Raw genomic sequence first — 15,034 nt, 5'->3', positions numbered from 1 at the left:
AGGGTAAGATAATAACACTGCCATTATAAGAGGCTTGCTATTGGTTATTAAGCATACTCTCCACTCTGCCCATCTGGTAAATTCCATAGCAGTCTCAGAGATTATGTGAAAAGTCTTCATCCACCTTCTCCACTTCTGGTTGAGGGGAACACTTTTTCACCTCACTAGGAGCCAATGTCCAATCCAAAAGATTATTTGCCCTTCCCCTACATTCAGGTCCAAACAAACAACTGCATCAGTGCCAGATGCAGGAACATAGTTAATTAACAGGGAATTAGAAAAGAACTTGGGATATAAGTTGGCTAGTATCTCAGCATCATCATGTAGAATTGCTGTAAAAACAAAAGCTAAATTAAACAAAAAAATCTTATTACATCTTCAATAGCATGAATAAAACAAGGGAAGTAATAGGATAGAATAATATCAACCTGGAAGTCCTCTTTAGTAGCCAGATGATGGCCCCCAAACATGGTCACATGCTATTCCCTGGAACCTGTGACTATGTTATCTTACATGGCAAAAGGGACTTGCAGGTGCAATTATGTTAAGGAAAGATGATCCTGGATTATCCAGTGGGCCCAATGTGATCACAAAGATATTACAAGAGGGAAGCGGGGTGCCAGAGTCGGAGAGACATTTGAAAGTGCTATTCTGCTGGCTTTGAATGTGGAGGAAGGGTATAGAAGCCAAGGAATGCAAGCAGCCTCTAGAAGCCGAAAAATACAAGGAAATGGATTGTCCCCTACAGCCTCCAGAAAGGAATGTAGCCCTACTGACACCATGATTTTAACTCAGTGGAAGCCATTTCAGCCTTCTGATCTCCAGAACTGTAAGATATTAAATTTCTTTTGCTTTAAAGCCACTAAATTTGTGGTCAACTTTTAAAGCAGCAATAGAAAACTAATACACCCTTCATAAGATCTGGATCCCAGATGAATGATCCTTTCCTAACCACAACACTCCTTAAAAGGTAGACTATCTTGGATTAGGCAAAAGGAGAGGAGATTTTGGTCTTCCCTACCCAAAACTCCTGTGAGGTTTTATGACATCTTACAAGGTTTTACTTTGGTCATACGTATCACACAGAAAGTCACTGTATTTTTCCCCCCAACATGCATGTTCTACCAGAGATCATTGAGGACAAGAATATATTCATCCCTAGGTTGGCTCTGAGTAGATACTCAGTAAATCACTGTCGTGGTAATACAAGGTGTGAAAATGAGAGCAAGTTCTACCAATTCCCCCTACTTATATTCCTCAGGGATAAACAAGCTCCTGCTGTGCTATACCATCCATCTTAATTTTCCCCTATGCTGTGGCCTGTTCACTTTTACTCTGGATCCCACTGGAGTCTTGATTAGAAGCTAAAGAGAGCAGGACCACACTTGGCCCATTAGTGAGAGTCAGGCACACCAGACATTGTGCTCTGACTCAGGCAGACACATTATGACAATGCAGAAAAGGCACAGAAGGAACATCAGAGGAAAATGAGGGGGAACAGGAACTCTGAGTGAACTGTGGACACATCTCTCAGGAACTATCTAGCCACTGGATACAGCTGAGTGTACGGCTTATTGCTGGAGAATGGACCAGGACAAAAGTAGACTTTTCTCATCCATGCACAGAGCTACGGCCTGCCAGCATAGCAAAATGAGAACCAAATGTTCTAGCCCAAATGGACTAGCAAGCACTTTTCCCTTTGATTGATTAACTAATAAAAACACAAGAAAAATTGATTTCATCATTCACTCACAACAGAAGTCCAACTTCAGGACTTGTCTTAATCTAAAGAATGTTTAAAATGTCCGATGGTACTTGAGAAAAACTGAGCAAATTGACTTTAGTGAAAAACTTTAAAAAACAACAAAAAAAGACATGTTAGCAGAATGCTAATGTGATGAACTGGAGCTAAGCAGTTGCAGACTTCTGATGTCTTGGCTGTCTTTTTCACCTTCAAACTCCAAATCCCTACATCAAAGCACATGTTATCTAATTTCCCCTTGGAAATTTTTAGAGGCTTTTGTTTAATTGCATTCACTGTACAGACACTGCTCTGTGACTGTATCTCCAGGGAGAATAGTGCCAGACAGACTACGAGTTATGGGCTGAGAGGAGCAGACAGCTTTTAAACTCTGGGGCATTTCTGACCATCCTCAGTAATGCTAGAGAAGAATCAGACCTTGTGTGTCAACAGTCTATGGACTGTTTTTCCTCCTCCTTTTCTTCTCCCCTCAACCCCTAACCTGGTCCCCAGCAGTCAGTCGACCAGGTCCCTTTCCTGGCCAGTAGGTGGCAGGCGAAGTTCTTTGGGCAACTCCAGTGAGAAAGCCTTTCTGCCCAAGATGCACTCAGCTTGTGTAGCAATAATCAAAGACTACCACTGTGGGTTTGCACAGAGAGCTCAATGTAAGCAGCAGAGACAAACTTTTGCAGAAGCAGTGGTAAGAGTAGAGGTGCTGATTCCCAGATGGACCAGCTGAAGAAGATTCCTAATACAAATTTCTAAATTTCATCTCTTGGTTTGCTGATTATCATTGATATCACATTTCCATAACCATAAAAATGATATAACAGTCCAGCCACGATGGCTTATGCTTATAATCCTAGAATGTTGGGAGGCCAGTGGGAAAGAATCACTTGAGGCCAGGAGTTCAAGACCAGCCTGGATGACATAGCAAGACCCCATCGCTACAAAAAAATTAAACAAAATAGCTAGATGTGGTGACAGACAGCTATCATACCAGTTACTCAGGAGGCTGAGGTGGGAGAATCACTTGAGCCCAGGAGTTTGAGGCAACAGTGAGCTATGGTCATGCCACTGCACTCCAGCCTGGGCAACAAAGATCCTGACTCAAAAAAAAAAAAAGATGTGACATTTAAAAGTTGGAAAAAATGAGCTGTAGCTGTTTCCTAGAATGTTGATGCTAGATTTTAAAAACATACACCTCACACACCATAGAAGAAGGCTTGCCTAAATATCTTCCTACCAGTCACTTTTGACAGTGAAAATACCTTTACAATTCAATGAGTTCTGCTTCCAGTGTTAATTCTTCAGAGTCAAACTACCATGATCTTCCATTGATTGGTGATGTACCATGTGCCCATGTGTACTCTCTGTTTAATCTAATTCACTTCTTACAATAACCCTGTAAGAAAAGTTTATTAGACCCCTATACTGATGAGGACACTGAAGTGTGGAGAGGGAAAGAAGCTTGCCCAAGGCAGTGAGCGGCTAAACTAAGGTTTGAATTCAACTGTTGAGGTTAAGAATTTTAGCTCTAAAATCTACTAAAATGTATCAATTTCTCTAAAGCTTGACCTTGTGAATAAGAATCGAATCTGCCTTGTCACATGCTTACTCATCCCATTTCTGGAGGGGGAAAAAAGAATTGTGAAGGGGCACGTAGCCTTTTACTATCAGGGAAAATTAATATGTCAGAGTCTGCAACATTTTATACCTAAGTAAGTGCTCAATGCAAGTATGAAGAGGTTGAGGTCTGCTGGTGGGAGGTAGATGAGAAAAGAGACCAAGAATGAAGTCAGACTGTTTTTGCAACTATCACAGGATTTAAAGTCAAGTTCTTGGACACTCCAGCTGAAGTCTAAATAGGCAGAACCCACAGAAGGGAAAGTGGAGTGTAGGATGTGGAAAGGGGATGATAGGGGCTAATGATAACTAACTTCAATGAGCATTTATGATGTAGCAGGTACTACTGTCAGTACCACATAGACATTCACTGAACCACTAAAACAACCCCATGAGACAGGTAACATTACTATTCCCATTTTATAAATAAGGAAATTGAGACATGTGAAATTGAGACTGACAGTAGCAGGTACTACTGTCAATACCACATAGATATTCACTGAACCATTAAAACAACCCCATGAGACAGGTAACATTAGTATCCCCATTTTATAAGTAAGGAAGTTGAGACATGTGAGGTTAAATAAATTGCCCAAGGACAAACAGCTGGAAAGGATTGGACTTTAAATTCAAATCTAAGCAGTTTGTCTCTAGAGTCCATTAGCTTAGCTACCAGAAATTATAAACACTAAGATTGTATTTGAAAGACTGGTAAAGAATTTGTAGGAATCAATGAAATGTCAGTATTGAGAAAGACATTTGGGAAATTATCATCATTACAACTTGATTTCAGTTAGGAATCTTCCTATTTAAGCCTCTTGATAAACTGAATAAATGACTGTCCATTTCCCTGTTTTCTTTTTTTATCCCCCCCACTCCCTTATCAGTTTCTCTTTCAGAAGATATAAAGCCACTGTCTGAAGTACTCATCTGTATTATAATCCAGTCAACGTCTGAAGACAATATGGTTTGGTCATGAAAGCAAATGTACACAAGAAGCACATTTAAGTTTCTTAGCTGAAATGTCTGCATAATGCAAGCAGGGCTGACTTGAACTAAATTGGTACACGGAGTTGGATGTGTGTCCTAAAGACAGATTCAGATGAAGTACACGGTTTCATTTTATCAGTTTTATTTTTATTTCCTTTCTTCAAATGAAAACTACTTCTAAAGTTGTTGTGGAACATGTATTTTAGAAAGTGGTCAGGTACAGTTCAATTTCATCAGCTATTTCTTAAGCACCTACCTAGTAGAAATACTTAAGTCAATTTTTAGAATTAAGTGTACTTGACAATCTGGATAATTTTAATATTTAAATCAGATCATTAGAAGAAAATACTATTTTGACCAAGAAATTAAGTGATGATTTTATCATCACTTCTCCAGACCTTGATTGAAGTTTCTTCTTCTTCTTCTATTTCTTCTCTGGATAAAAGCTGTAACTTCAACTAATTGCCCAAACCTGTGTCATCCTTAACATTTTACTTGCTCTGACCCTTCACATCCAACCAGTCATTTCTCCTACTAATTTTACCTTATCTTTTGCATTTTCACTGATATCTTCATGGATGAGGTCTTCATAACCTATTGTCTGAACTGCTGACATAATTTTCTAAATCTCTCTTGTTGATCCACCACCCTGTCCCAGCAGCTACCAGCGTAATCTTCCTAAAGTGAAAATGTAATCACATTATTCAATACTCAAATTGAGTTCAGCGGGTATACATGCCTTAGAATATAAAAATCTAAAACTCTTTCACATGGCTCACAGAGCCTTAGTGACCTGGCCCTTGATGACTTGGCCTTCCCAACCTTGGATCCAGCCACCAGTCTGCTACATCAAGCCCCTAGAGCCCCCACCACCAGTGCCATACTATACCTCCAAACACATACTATATAGCCATATAGTATGGCTATATAAAATGTATACCATACTATATAGCCTCCAAACACATACTATAACACGGTGCCAAACTGCATATAGTTCCCAATTTCAACAATCCTTGGACATTTCTTTTGTTGTTGTTGTTTGTTCTCTGGGGGGTTGGGGTTTGGTTTGTTTCGTTTTGTTTGGGTTTTTTTTTTTTTTCTTTGAGACAAGGTGTGGCTCTGTCACCCAGGCTGGAGTGCAGTGGCATAAGCAACGTCCATGGCCTGGGCTAAAGTGATCCTCCCAAGTAAATGGAACCACAGGTGCATGCCACCACACCTGGCTAATTTTTGTATTTTTTGTAGAGACCAGGTATTACCATGTTGCCCCCACTTGGTCTTGAACCCCTGAGCTCAAGAAATCCACCCTCCCTGGTCTCCCAAATTGCTGGGATTACAGGCATGAGCAACTGTGCCAGGCCTCCTGGCCATTTCTTTGGTATTCTTCCTGCCTCTACTAATGCCTGAATTTATCTCCCTTTCTATTACCTAGAAAATGCCTTCTTACTCTCCAATTCCTAACCCAAGTGTTTCACTTATTTTATCAACTGTTATTTCCATTAGATTCTCTAGATCTCCTATAAAACTCATCAGGTTATATTGTACCATTGATTTGCATGTTTTTCCCCTGTGCTTGACTGTAAATTTCTTGCAGGCATTGCTTTCTTTGCCTCCACCCTCAGCAACTAATTTGGTGCTTGTTTTTAGCAAGTTATCTGATAAATATGTGCTGGGTGACCAGCAAAGATTCACTTCTCTAGTCTCTGGTGAAGTCTTAGCTCCTCCCTTAATGTGAATCAACACTCAATAGTAGTTCATTTTCCAAGAGAATAAGTCAACTTTCCAAGTGCTCCACTAGTGCCTAGTAATATACTTTTTAAATATATTAATGTCTCTCACTGGAGATGTAGAAGGTAAATGCTAAGAAGATTTAGATCTGGCAGGTTGTAATGTTATGAATGATATATTTTAAAGTGTTTTATTTTGAGGGAAGAAATGCTTTGTAGTGATTAATTAAATGGTTTGGCTCCGTAATAATTGAAGTATATTTGTGGAGCTATTAAAGACTATGTCTGGATGATTTTGATGAATTGCATCTAAAACACTCCCTTCGCATAATGAATTGATATTTTTAAGTGCTGTGATTACAGTGGATTTTTTTAATTTGCATGTGATGTTAGTGGCCTCATTTGTTACTACTTAAATTTGATTGAAATGTTTTTGATTAATTGTTATAAATTCTCTGAATGGTAAGGTAAACTAAGCAGTTTTATTTTCAAAATTCTGTCTCAAGAAATGTTCCTTTTATTTACATTAGTCCTGCTTAGAAGTGGTCTTGCTGCACCGTATCTGGTGCATGCAAATCATATTTCCTTCAGAACATAACACTTAATATGAGAGAAAAGTATGCCTCAGGCATAATTCTGTGAGTTAACAACTCTCTTCTCCCAAGCAGCATTCCTTTGGTAACAAGGAAAGAAATTAAACAAGAAAAAGATAGGAATATCCTTTTCTCTAGCCCTTTGGCTAAAATAAGTTTTCTACCTTTTCTCAATCACCTGGACACACATTTTTGGTCTCACCTTCTATGTCCCAACTCCTTCCCTTCCCCACCTCCCACAAGGCATTTTGTAGATCAAATATTTCCATTAGTTGGTAGGCATAGAGATATATCTGGTGGCTGGTTAAAGAAGAAAACATATTTATCAAGTTCCTTCAAAGTACTGTGTGCTATTTCATATTATATCTTATTTCATTGTACAATAGCCTTGTAAAATAAAAATATGCTAATTTTTACACTTGTGAAAGCTGAGACTCAGACAGGTGAAATAATTTGAGCCTGTATGCCCAGCTTGTTATTGAGCTGATGTGAACCCATGACTGCCAGCCTACTCCTTGTGCTCTTCATACTATGCCTTATTATAGCCTCCATTATTCTTTAGCTGAAAAATATTTGCCTGTCAGTCTGAAAAGATGGAATCAGGTATAGAATTTCAACTCTCAAGTGATCTATTAAAGGAACTCATAGAGGAGATAGCCTTGAGTACAAGAATAATGGGAGTGTTTGAGTTGCTTATATAGGGAAGGCATTCCAGCAAGAGATAACGGCAGGCACAAAGATAAGGTTTGGGGCTACTTGAGGCAGTCTCCCATCTCCTAACTGAGGGTATTCCCTAAGGTCAATCTGTGGTCCTTGAGTTCTGTCTACTTTTGTTCTCTTCTTTGGAGAATTCAACCATCCCATCATTACACTTTCAATTCTGGAGTATTAGTCTTCCTTGAGTTCTGGTTGTGAGTCTACAAATGACAACTAGATAGCTCCACTTTCATACCTGGGATCACCTCAACCTTAACATATCCAAACTCACTTTCTTTTATATCAAATAAATCCATTTGTAATAGTTTCTTTCTTCCCAGTTTTCTATTAAATGCAACAAATTTTTCTACTTCCCACTCTGAAAATGCAATCATGTTTAATTTTTCCTGGTCCTCAATTTACCCATTTTTAATCAGATATAGGTAAAACTGTTTTTTAATGTTTTGATTTTGTATCCTCATTTTAATTTTCACAATTGCTATACAATTGAATATCATATATCTATACATCTTAATTAATAGAAGAATGAGAAACCAATACATCTGACCAACTAAAAAATATTCAATACCTCCCCATTTTTGTTGAAAAATACACTACTGGCAATTCCTCATAGTATCTTCAGCTTGCTCTTCTTACCTTTTCAATTTAACCTTATGCTTCTCCTCAGCATTAATCTTCTGCATAAACCAAGCTCCCTCACCACTCAAATTGTTCTTGTACATTGCTGTTTCTACAAAGTAAATTCATTGAATTTACAGAAATTCATTTACATGAATCTCATTAGCATGAAATTTATCCCCACGCATCAAGCTTACACCACGTACAAAGTCTTTCTTCACTATCTAGTCTACAGAAGTTTTGAACACATAGGGCCCATATTAAGACTTTACCATTCACTGAAATGGCTATGAACATATATATGTGTATACATCTTCCTAAAAGAAAACTCCATTTAGCCAAATTCCAAGCAAACTGCAACAAAAGTTTTAACATATATAATTATTAAACATAAAGCAAAGCAAAAGTCATTGTAATAGAGGACAATTCTGGGGAACTTTAGCTATAATTTAATATCTTGACTTTACTCATTAGCACATTCAGTAACTATTCATTGAGAATATGCTGTGTGCCAGAAACTGTTCTATGCTTTGAGGATAAAATGAAGAACAACCTAAAATCTCAGCTCTCAAAGAACTTCAACTATAGTCAGAGAGAATGCCAATAAAACATAAACAAATACATAGTATTAATTGTCATTAAAAAAAGAGAAGCAAGATGAGGTATTACAGTGAAATTGATTTGGGACTAATTTTAGATATGTTTAGATACAGTGTCATGAACAGCCTTCTGAATAAGTTAAAGAGAAGGAAGAATGAAGCGAGAAAATAAGACACACAGAGTTCTGGGAGGTGGAGGTATGTATCCCAAGCAAAGACAGCAACAACCAAAAAGATCTTAAGGCAGGAAACAGATTTTCATTTTAGGAGACTAGCAAAAACTCCATTGTGATTAAAGTAAAATGAGAAAAGGAGAGAATGACAACAGAAAAATGTGGACTGGTATTTGGGGATCAGACTAGGTGAGGATTGGGGATCAGACAATATACAAAATATATATTTTGTATATTGTCCTGAATGTGATAGGAAGCTTCGGAAGCTTTGAGAAGAGGAGTTACATCATAAGATTAATATGTTCAAGATATCTTTCTGGTTTCTGTAGATAGAATAAAATTTAGAGTGACAAGAAGAGAAGAGGGAAATCAGATGTCCATTGCAACAGGATAGGTGAGAAATCACGATGGTTTCAACTAGAATGTATAATGATGAAACTTAATAACTGATTGAATGTTGCGTATAAAGAAAAGAGAATACTTAAAGATGGGTGCTAGATTTTACCTTTGTGAATGGAGGATTTGGACCTGTGTAATTCAACCTCAAGGAGAAGAGGTTTGAAGGGTAAAATTGATAACTAAGTTTGGACATGTTTATATTATGTCCTATGAGCTCAAAGAAAGGTTCAGACTAGAGAATCAAAGGGTGGGGGAGGGGGGGCCAACTGCATTTGATAATAATAGGACTAAATTAGAAATAATTTGGATTGGGGTGGGTAAGGTAAAAGAGAATAGGTTTGAAGAAATATGTGTTTGTTTTTGGAACTATTAAATTTAAAATTTCTAAGAGACATCTAAGTGAACAAGTCCAGGAAACTGCAAGAAAATTGGACCAATAATTAGGAGAGTTTGGGGTTTGTTTGTAAGCACAATTTGGAAGAACCAAGAACAGAGCCCAGAGACTAGATAAATAAAGAAAGTCCAAGAACTGAGACCCAGATACAAGTGATAGCATGACAGGAAAAATGTGTTTCAAAGATGAAGAAGTAGTCAATAGTTCCAGTTGCAGATGAGTCAGGTTAGATAGAGTTAAGAGTCATCATTGGGTATGGAAACCAGATGTTGGTTGAGGGTTTAGCAAAAAGCAATTTCAGGTCCCATCTCTTTGAGGAAGTTTTTTGTCTCCCAAAGGCCCAGGCAAAGATGTAAATCAATGTTCATTCGTCAAATAGAACATTCTCATTAGTTGGCTACCGGATTCTATAGTGCAAACCTTAATATAATGTGCAAACTATCAAGATGCAGGTGTGATACTCATAGCCAAGGATTTCGTTGGTACCAAGAGCACTGAGACCCTGTGGTAGCCTCTTCCAGCCTCCTCTTGTAATGAGTTTCAGTTCTTGACAGACTTCTTGCTTGCTTATGCCCAAGTTTAATGTTCCTAAATCAACTGCATTATATAGCCACACATTTTATACTGGGGACTGTAGGAGCAGGAAAAGGAGCACTGAGGCTTTGCAGCACTGTCATGACACTCCTACACTAGGACTGTATTGCCAAGTGCAGATCCAACTGGGCCCTGAGAAGTGTGTGATGAACAAGGCCCCCTAGAGGGCAGCAGAGCCTCACAGGAGTGGGGAGAAAGCCCAAAACAGAGGTTAGTGGGGAGTTTCACTCAAGGAGACACAAGGAGGCAATGCACACATTTACGGAGAATGAAGTTAAGCTTTGTGAAATGAAGGAAGTCCGTAATACAAGGAGTAGAAAAGTCTAAAATGTGAACCAGACAGCAAACACAAGGCTGGGCTAGGAAAGAAAAGAGTGACCAGAAGTCAGTCACAGGAAAGCAAGGCTTGTCTGCTCAGTGAATGTTATGACCCAAGCAATCATAATAAACAGGTACCATTTCACCATTTTCCTAGTCTGTTTTGTGTTGCTATAAGAGAATACCACGGACTGGGTAACACTATTTAAATGAAATTTATTTCTCAGTTCTGAAGACTGGGAAATCCAAGACCATGGCACCAGCATCTGGGGAGGGTCATCCCATGGTGGAAGGGCAAGAGAGCATGTGTATGTGTATGTGTATGTGTGTGTGTGAGAGAGAGAGAGAGTGAGAGCAAATGGGAGACAAACTTATCTTTTTACCAGGAGCCAACTCTCCCAATAACTAACCCACTCCCATGATAACAACATTAATCCATTCGTGAGGGCAGAGCCCTCACAAAATCACCCCTAAATGTCCCACCTCTTAATACTGTTACACGGCAATTAAGTTTTCAACACGTGAACTTTTGGTGACATTTTCAAGCTATAGCAACCATGTTATCTGCTATGGGCTAGATGATAGGTTAGGCACTGGAGATATAAAAATGAATACAATACCATCCTTCCCCCAGATAACTTTTCTCTTCATAATAAATTCAGACTCATAAAAAATAATGTTAGTAAGGAAGTATAGATAACTCGATCCTTTGTGGGTATACAAAAAGGGAAATAATGATGAGAGAGGACAGGAAAGGCCTCAAAAAAAAAAAAAAAAGGATAACATGATGGTATGGGTCCTGGTTGTGGGTTTTTTTTTTCCTCTTCTCTGATTTCTCTATGTCTTCCCTGAAATAATATTTTTCTTTCTCATTTATTTATTCTCTCATTCAGCACTTTTTTTATTATTGAGTCTTGCCAGGCCCCACTCACTGTTGTGGGCACTGGGATACATACATGGTCCCTGCCTTCAGAAACCTTCTGCTATTTTATTTGTGGTGAACGTGACAGTCACAAGCAAGGCAGTCAGCTTGCACCCATTTGTTTCTTCCAATGACACATTCTGCACCCTGCCCTCTTCCTAGGCTTGAAGGAGAAAGCTTAAACGGTCAGCTCTACAAGGCCCCATGTGAGAAAGAAAGGTAACAGATAAAGAATATCATGTCTTTTCACTTAATCAGCTCTTATCGCTTATGCAGTTAACAAATAGTTGTTGTGCACAGTGTGCCAAGCTTGTGCCTCTCAGGCCAGGGTAAGTTCAAATTACACCACGGCATTTTCCATTTTAGTTCTAGGAGATTTATTTTTTCATTCTAGGACACCTAGGTGTTATTAACCTTTTTTGAAATGAAGTCTTGTTCTGTCGCCCAGGCTGGAGTGCAGTGGCCCAATCTCAGCTTACTGCAACCTCCACTTCCCGGGCTCAGGTGATTCTCCTGCCTCAGCCTCCTTTGTAGCTGGGATTACAGGTATGTGCCACCATACCTAGCTAATTTTGTATTTTTAGTAGAGACGGGGTTTCACCATGTTGGCCAGGCTGGTCTCGAACTCCTGACCTCAGGTGATCCACCAGCCTCTTCCTCCCAAAGTGCTGCGAGTACAGACATAAGCCACCAAGCCCGGCAGGTGTTATTATCTTTACCATGAGTTTAGTGTGCTCTATTTGTTTGTCTATGACAGCCAATGTTTATCATCCCCATTGGATTCTAAGCTCCTTGAGTTGAGAGGCTGTGAAATGTATTTTCTGGATGTCAAGTAGAAAACCAAGTACTATGCCAGGTATCTAGAAAATACACAATATATGTTTAAGTATATCATTTACAAACAGAAGAACCTAGCTTTGAATTCCAACATCAACATTTATAAACTTTGTGACCAATAGATCTCTTTTAAACAGGATCATCAATACCCCTCCCTAGGGTTGTAAAGAGACAATGTTTGAAACAATGTTTAAAAAGCTCTGAGTATAGTGCCTGTTACGTATGCTTGCTCTTCCTCTTTCTCTTCTTTATTCTTTGCCCTCTACTTGATTTTTGTTTGTTTGTTTTTTCCTTTTTAGCCATGCCTTTGGTAATTTTGGTTATTTTCTTTAATCTAGTGTTCTACAATACAAGCCTCAGTGTTCAACAGCCCAAATATGAGTCCTGGCTTTGCCTCATCTAACTGTGTGACTTTCAGCAAGCTACCCAGCCACTCTGTGCCTCAGTTATTTTTATCGGTGAAAGGGGGATAATAATAGTACATATCTCATAGTGTATTAGTCTGCTCTCACCCTTCTATAAAGGTACTACATGAGATTGGGTAATTTATAAAGGAAAGAGGTTTAATTGACTCCCAGTTCCACATGGCTGGGGAGGCTTCAGGAAACTTACAATCATGGCCAAATGTTAAGCAGGTACCTTCTTCACAAGGGAGCAGGAGAGAGAAGAGAAAGCTAAGGGGGAAGAGCCCCTGTAAAACCTTTAGATCTCACAAGAAGTCACTCACTATCATGAGAAGAGCATGGGGGAAACTCCCCCTCACGATCCAATCACCTCCCTTCCTCCACACATGGGGATTACAGATCCCTCCCTTGACATGTGAGAATTACAATTTGAGATGAGATTTGAGTGGGGACAGAGAGCCAAACCATATAAGTGTCTTAGTGAAATTAAATGCTAAAATCTACATAAAACATCAATCCTGTAAATTACATGGTATTTCTTCCATTATGCGAAAAGAAAATTTGAGAAAAAGTTATATAAGTTATTCATAACAATATAGCTAGTAAGTGGTATTGCTGAGAATAAAATCCATGTTAATTAACTCCAAATCCAGTACACTTAATTTCCATAATATATTGCCCATCTCAGGCAAACTAAAGCCCAGTCAAGTTAGACAAATCTGAAGAGCTATGGTATATCTATCTATATGTATGTTTATATATGTATAAGTGTGTGATTGTATGTGTGTATATACATGTATCTGTGTCTATATATTTATATATGCTTATATACTTGTATGTATACAGATGATACTACTTAACTTCATGCATTAGCTTATCACACTCTGACATGATAAATTCCTAATATCTATAACAGATCACAATGAAACTCCTAGCTTAGGACCTAGCAAATACTAAGTACTTAAGAAACATCAGTAAACGTTTCTTTGGATATTTTGCATTGTGAAATTAAAGTAATCTCACTTTCCTTTATTGTGATAGACACTCGGCAGTGTGGAAATCTGCTTGGAAATGACAGAATTAGGAAATCCATCTGTTGTAATCATGTGTGATTATAATTAAACATAAAACGTTATCCTAATACCAGGAGAAATATAATTACCTTTATTAAAATAATAATCTTAAGACAATGTGATGGGGCTGGGCGCGGTGACTCACGCCTGTAATTCCAGCACTTTGGGAAGCCGAGGCGGGCGGATCACAAGGTCAGGAGATTGAGACCATCCTGGCTAACATGGTGAAACCCCATCTCTACTAAAAATACAAAAAAAAAATTAACCAGGCGTGGTGGTGGGCACCTGTAATCCCAGCTACTCAGGAGGCTGAGGCAGGAGAATGGCGTGAACCCAGGAGGCAGAGCTTACAGTGAGCTGAGATCACGATCACGCCACTGCACTCCAGCCTGGATGACAGAGCGAGACTCTGTCTCAAAAAAATAAAAATAAAAAATAGAAATAAAAATAAAGACAATGTGATGAAGAATAGAGGCAGTGGAAAGGTAATCTCTAGTCATAGACTTGTGATTTGAGTTCCCTCCTCCCCGTGTCATGAAGTGGAGATGATTCTTTTGATGGCCATGTAAGTGCACAACTTACACTGGCTACCTGTAATTGCATGCCCAGGACTTTCCAGAACTGCTTCTCTCTCCCTGGGTGTCATTCCCACTCGTGGGCAGCTGCATCTATCAAAAGTAAGCATGATTCCCCTCCCTTCAGTCTTCACCCCTCGCATGTATATAGGCAAAAGAAACATCCCAATCTCCTTCCTCCACCCCATCTCATCTTGTTCTTGTGAAAATCCAGTTATTTTACATCCTGAAATAAATGGAAACTAAGCTTCTTGGCAAAAATGTAGAAAGCTTTTTTTGTTTCTAAGTTGTCCAAAGACAAAGGAATGAGGAAAACAAAGACAAGTTTTATGCATTGAGATAGGACAGGAGGGGTTAAAAGGGCAAGAAAGGTGAAGGAAGAAGGCTAGAGAAAGAAAGGAGGGTGGCAAACGGAATGAATTAGTTGAGACAAGAACTGGTGAATGAACTTCTGTGTATGATAGAAGGGGGAGGCTAGTTTTGATGTAGTTAGATTTAGATAAATAGTACTGCCTTGCATTTCATAAATGTCCCTGCTTTTACCATTTCACTTGTTGAGTTGCTGCTCTATACTAGGCCCTATCCTAGATGCTTGTTAAAAGAACAGACGTGCCCAGGTAGCCATAAACTTTACGGTGTAGTGAGAAAGACAGTTACTAAACTAGTAGTCAGGCAGATATTTAATTATAATTTGTTAATAATTGGTATGAAGGAAGAGAATAGGCCCTGATACA

The 15,034-nt window shown here is 38.8% G+C and overlaps 1 protein-coding gene across 4 annotated transcripts in view, besides 1 other annotated feature; it reads left to right on the top strand.

Moving 5' to 3' along the window:
* GRM5 (glutamate metabotropic receptor 5) overlaps positions 1–15,034 on the top strand; it is a 561,341-nt gene that overhangs the window by 511,083 nt on the left and 35,224 nt on the right. The gene's annotated exons all lie outside the window — the stretch shown is intronic.
* Positions 2,165–2,459: a silencer, noted in NCBI's record as "tiled region #7525; HepG2 Repressive DNase unmatched - State 12:CtcfO". NCBI's record gives its function as "represses a minimal TATA promoter and a strong SV40 promoter by Sharpr-MPRA in HepG2 cells {active_cell/tissue: HepG2}" and the evidence as "EXISTENCE:reporter gene assay evidence [ECO:0000049][PMID:27701403]".

This window comes from Homo sapiens, chromosome 11 (genome assembly GCF_000001405.40).
Source record: "Homo sapiens chromosome 11, GRCh38.p14 Primary Assembly".
NCBI classification, from domain to species: Eukaryota; Metazoa; Chordata; class Mammalia; order Primates; family Hominidae; genus Homo; species Homo sapiens.
This window is presented reverse-complemented; position numbering and strand designations above follow the sequence as displayed.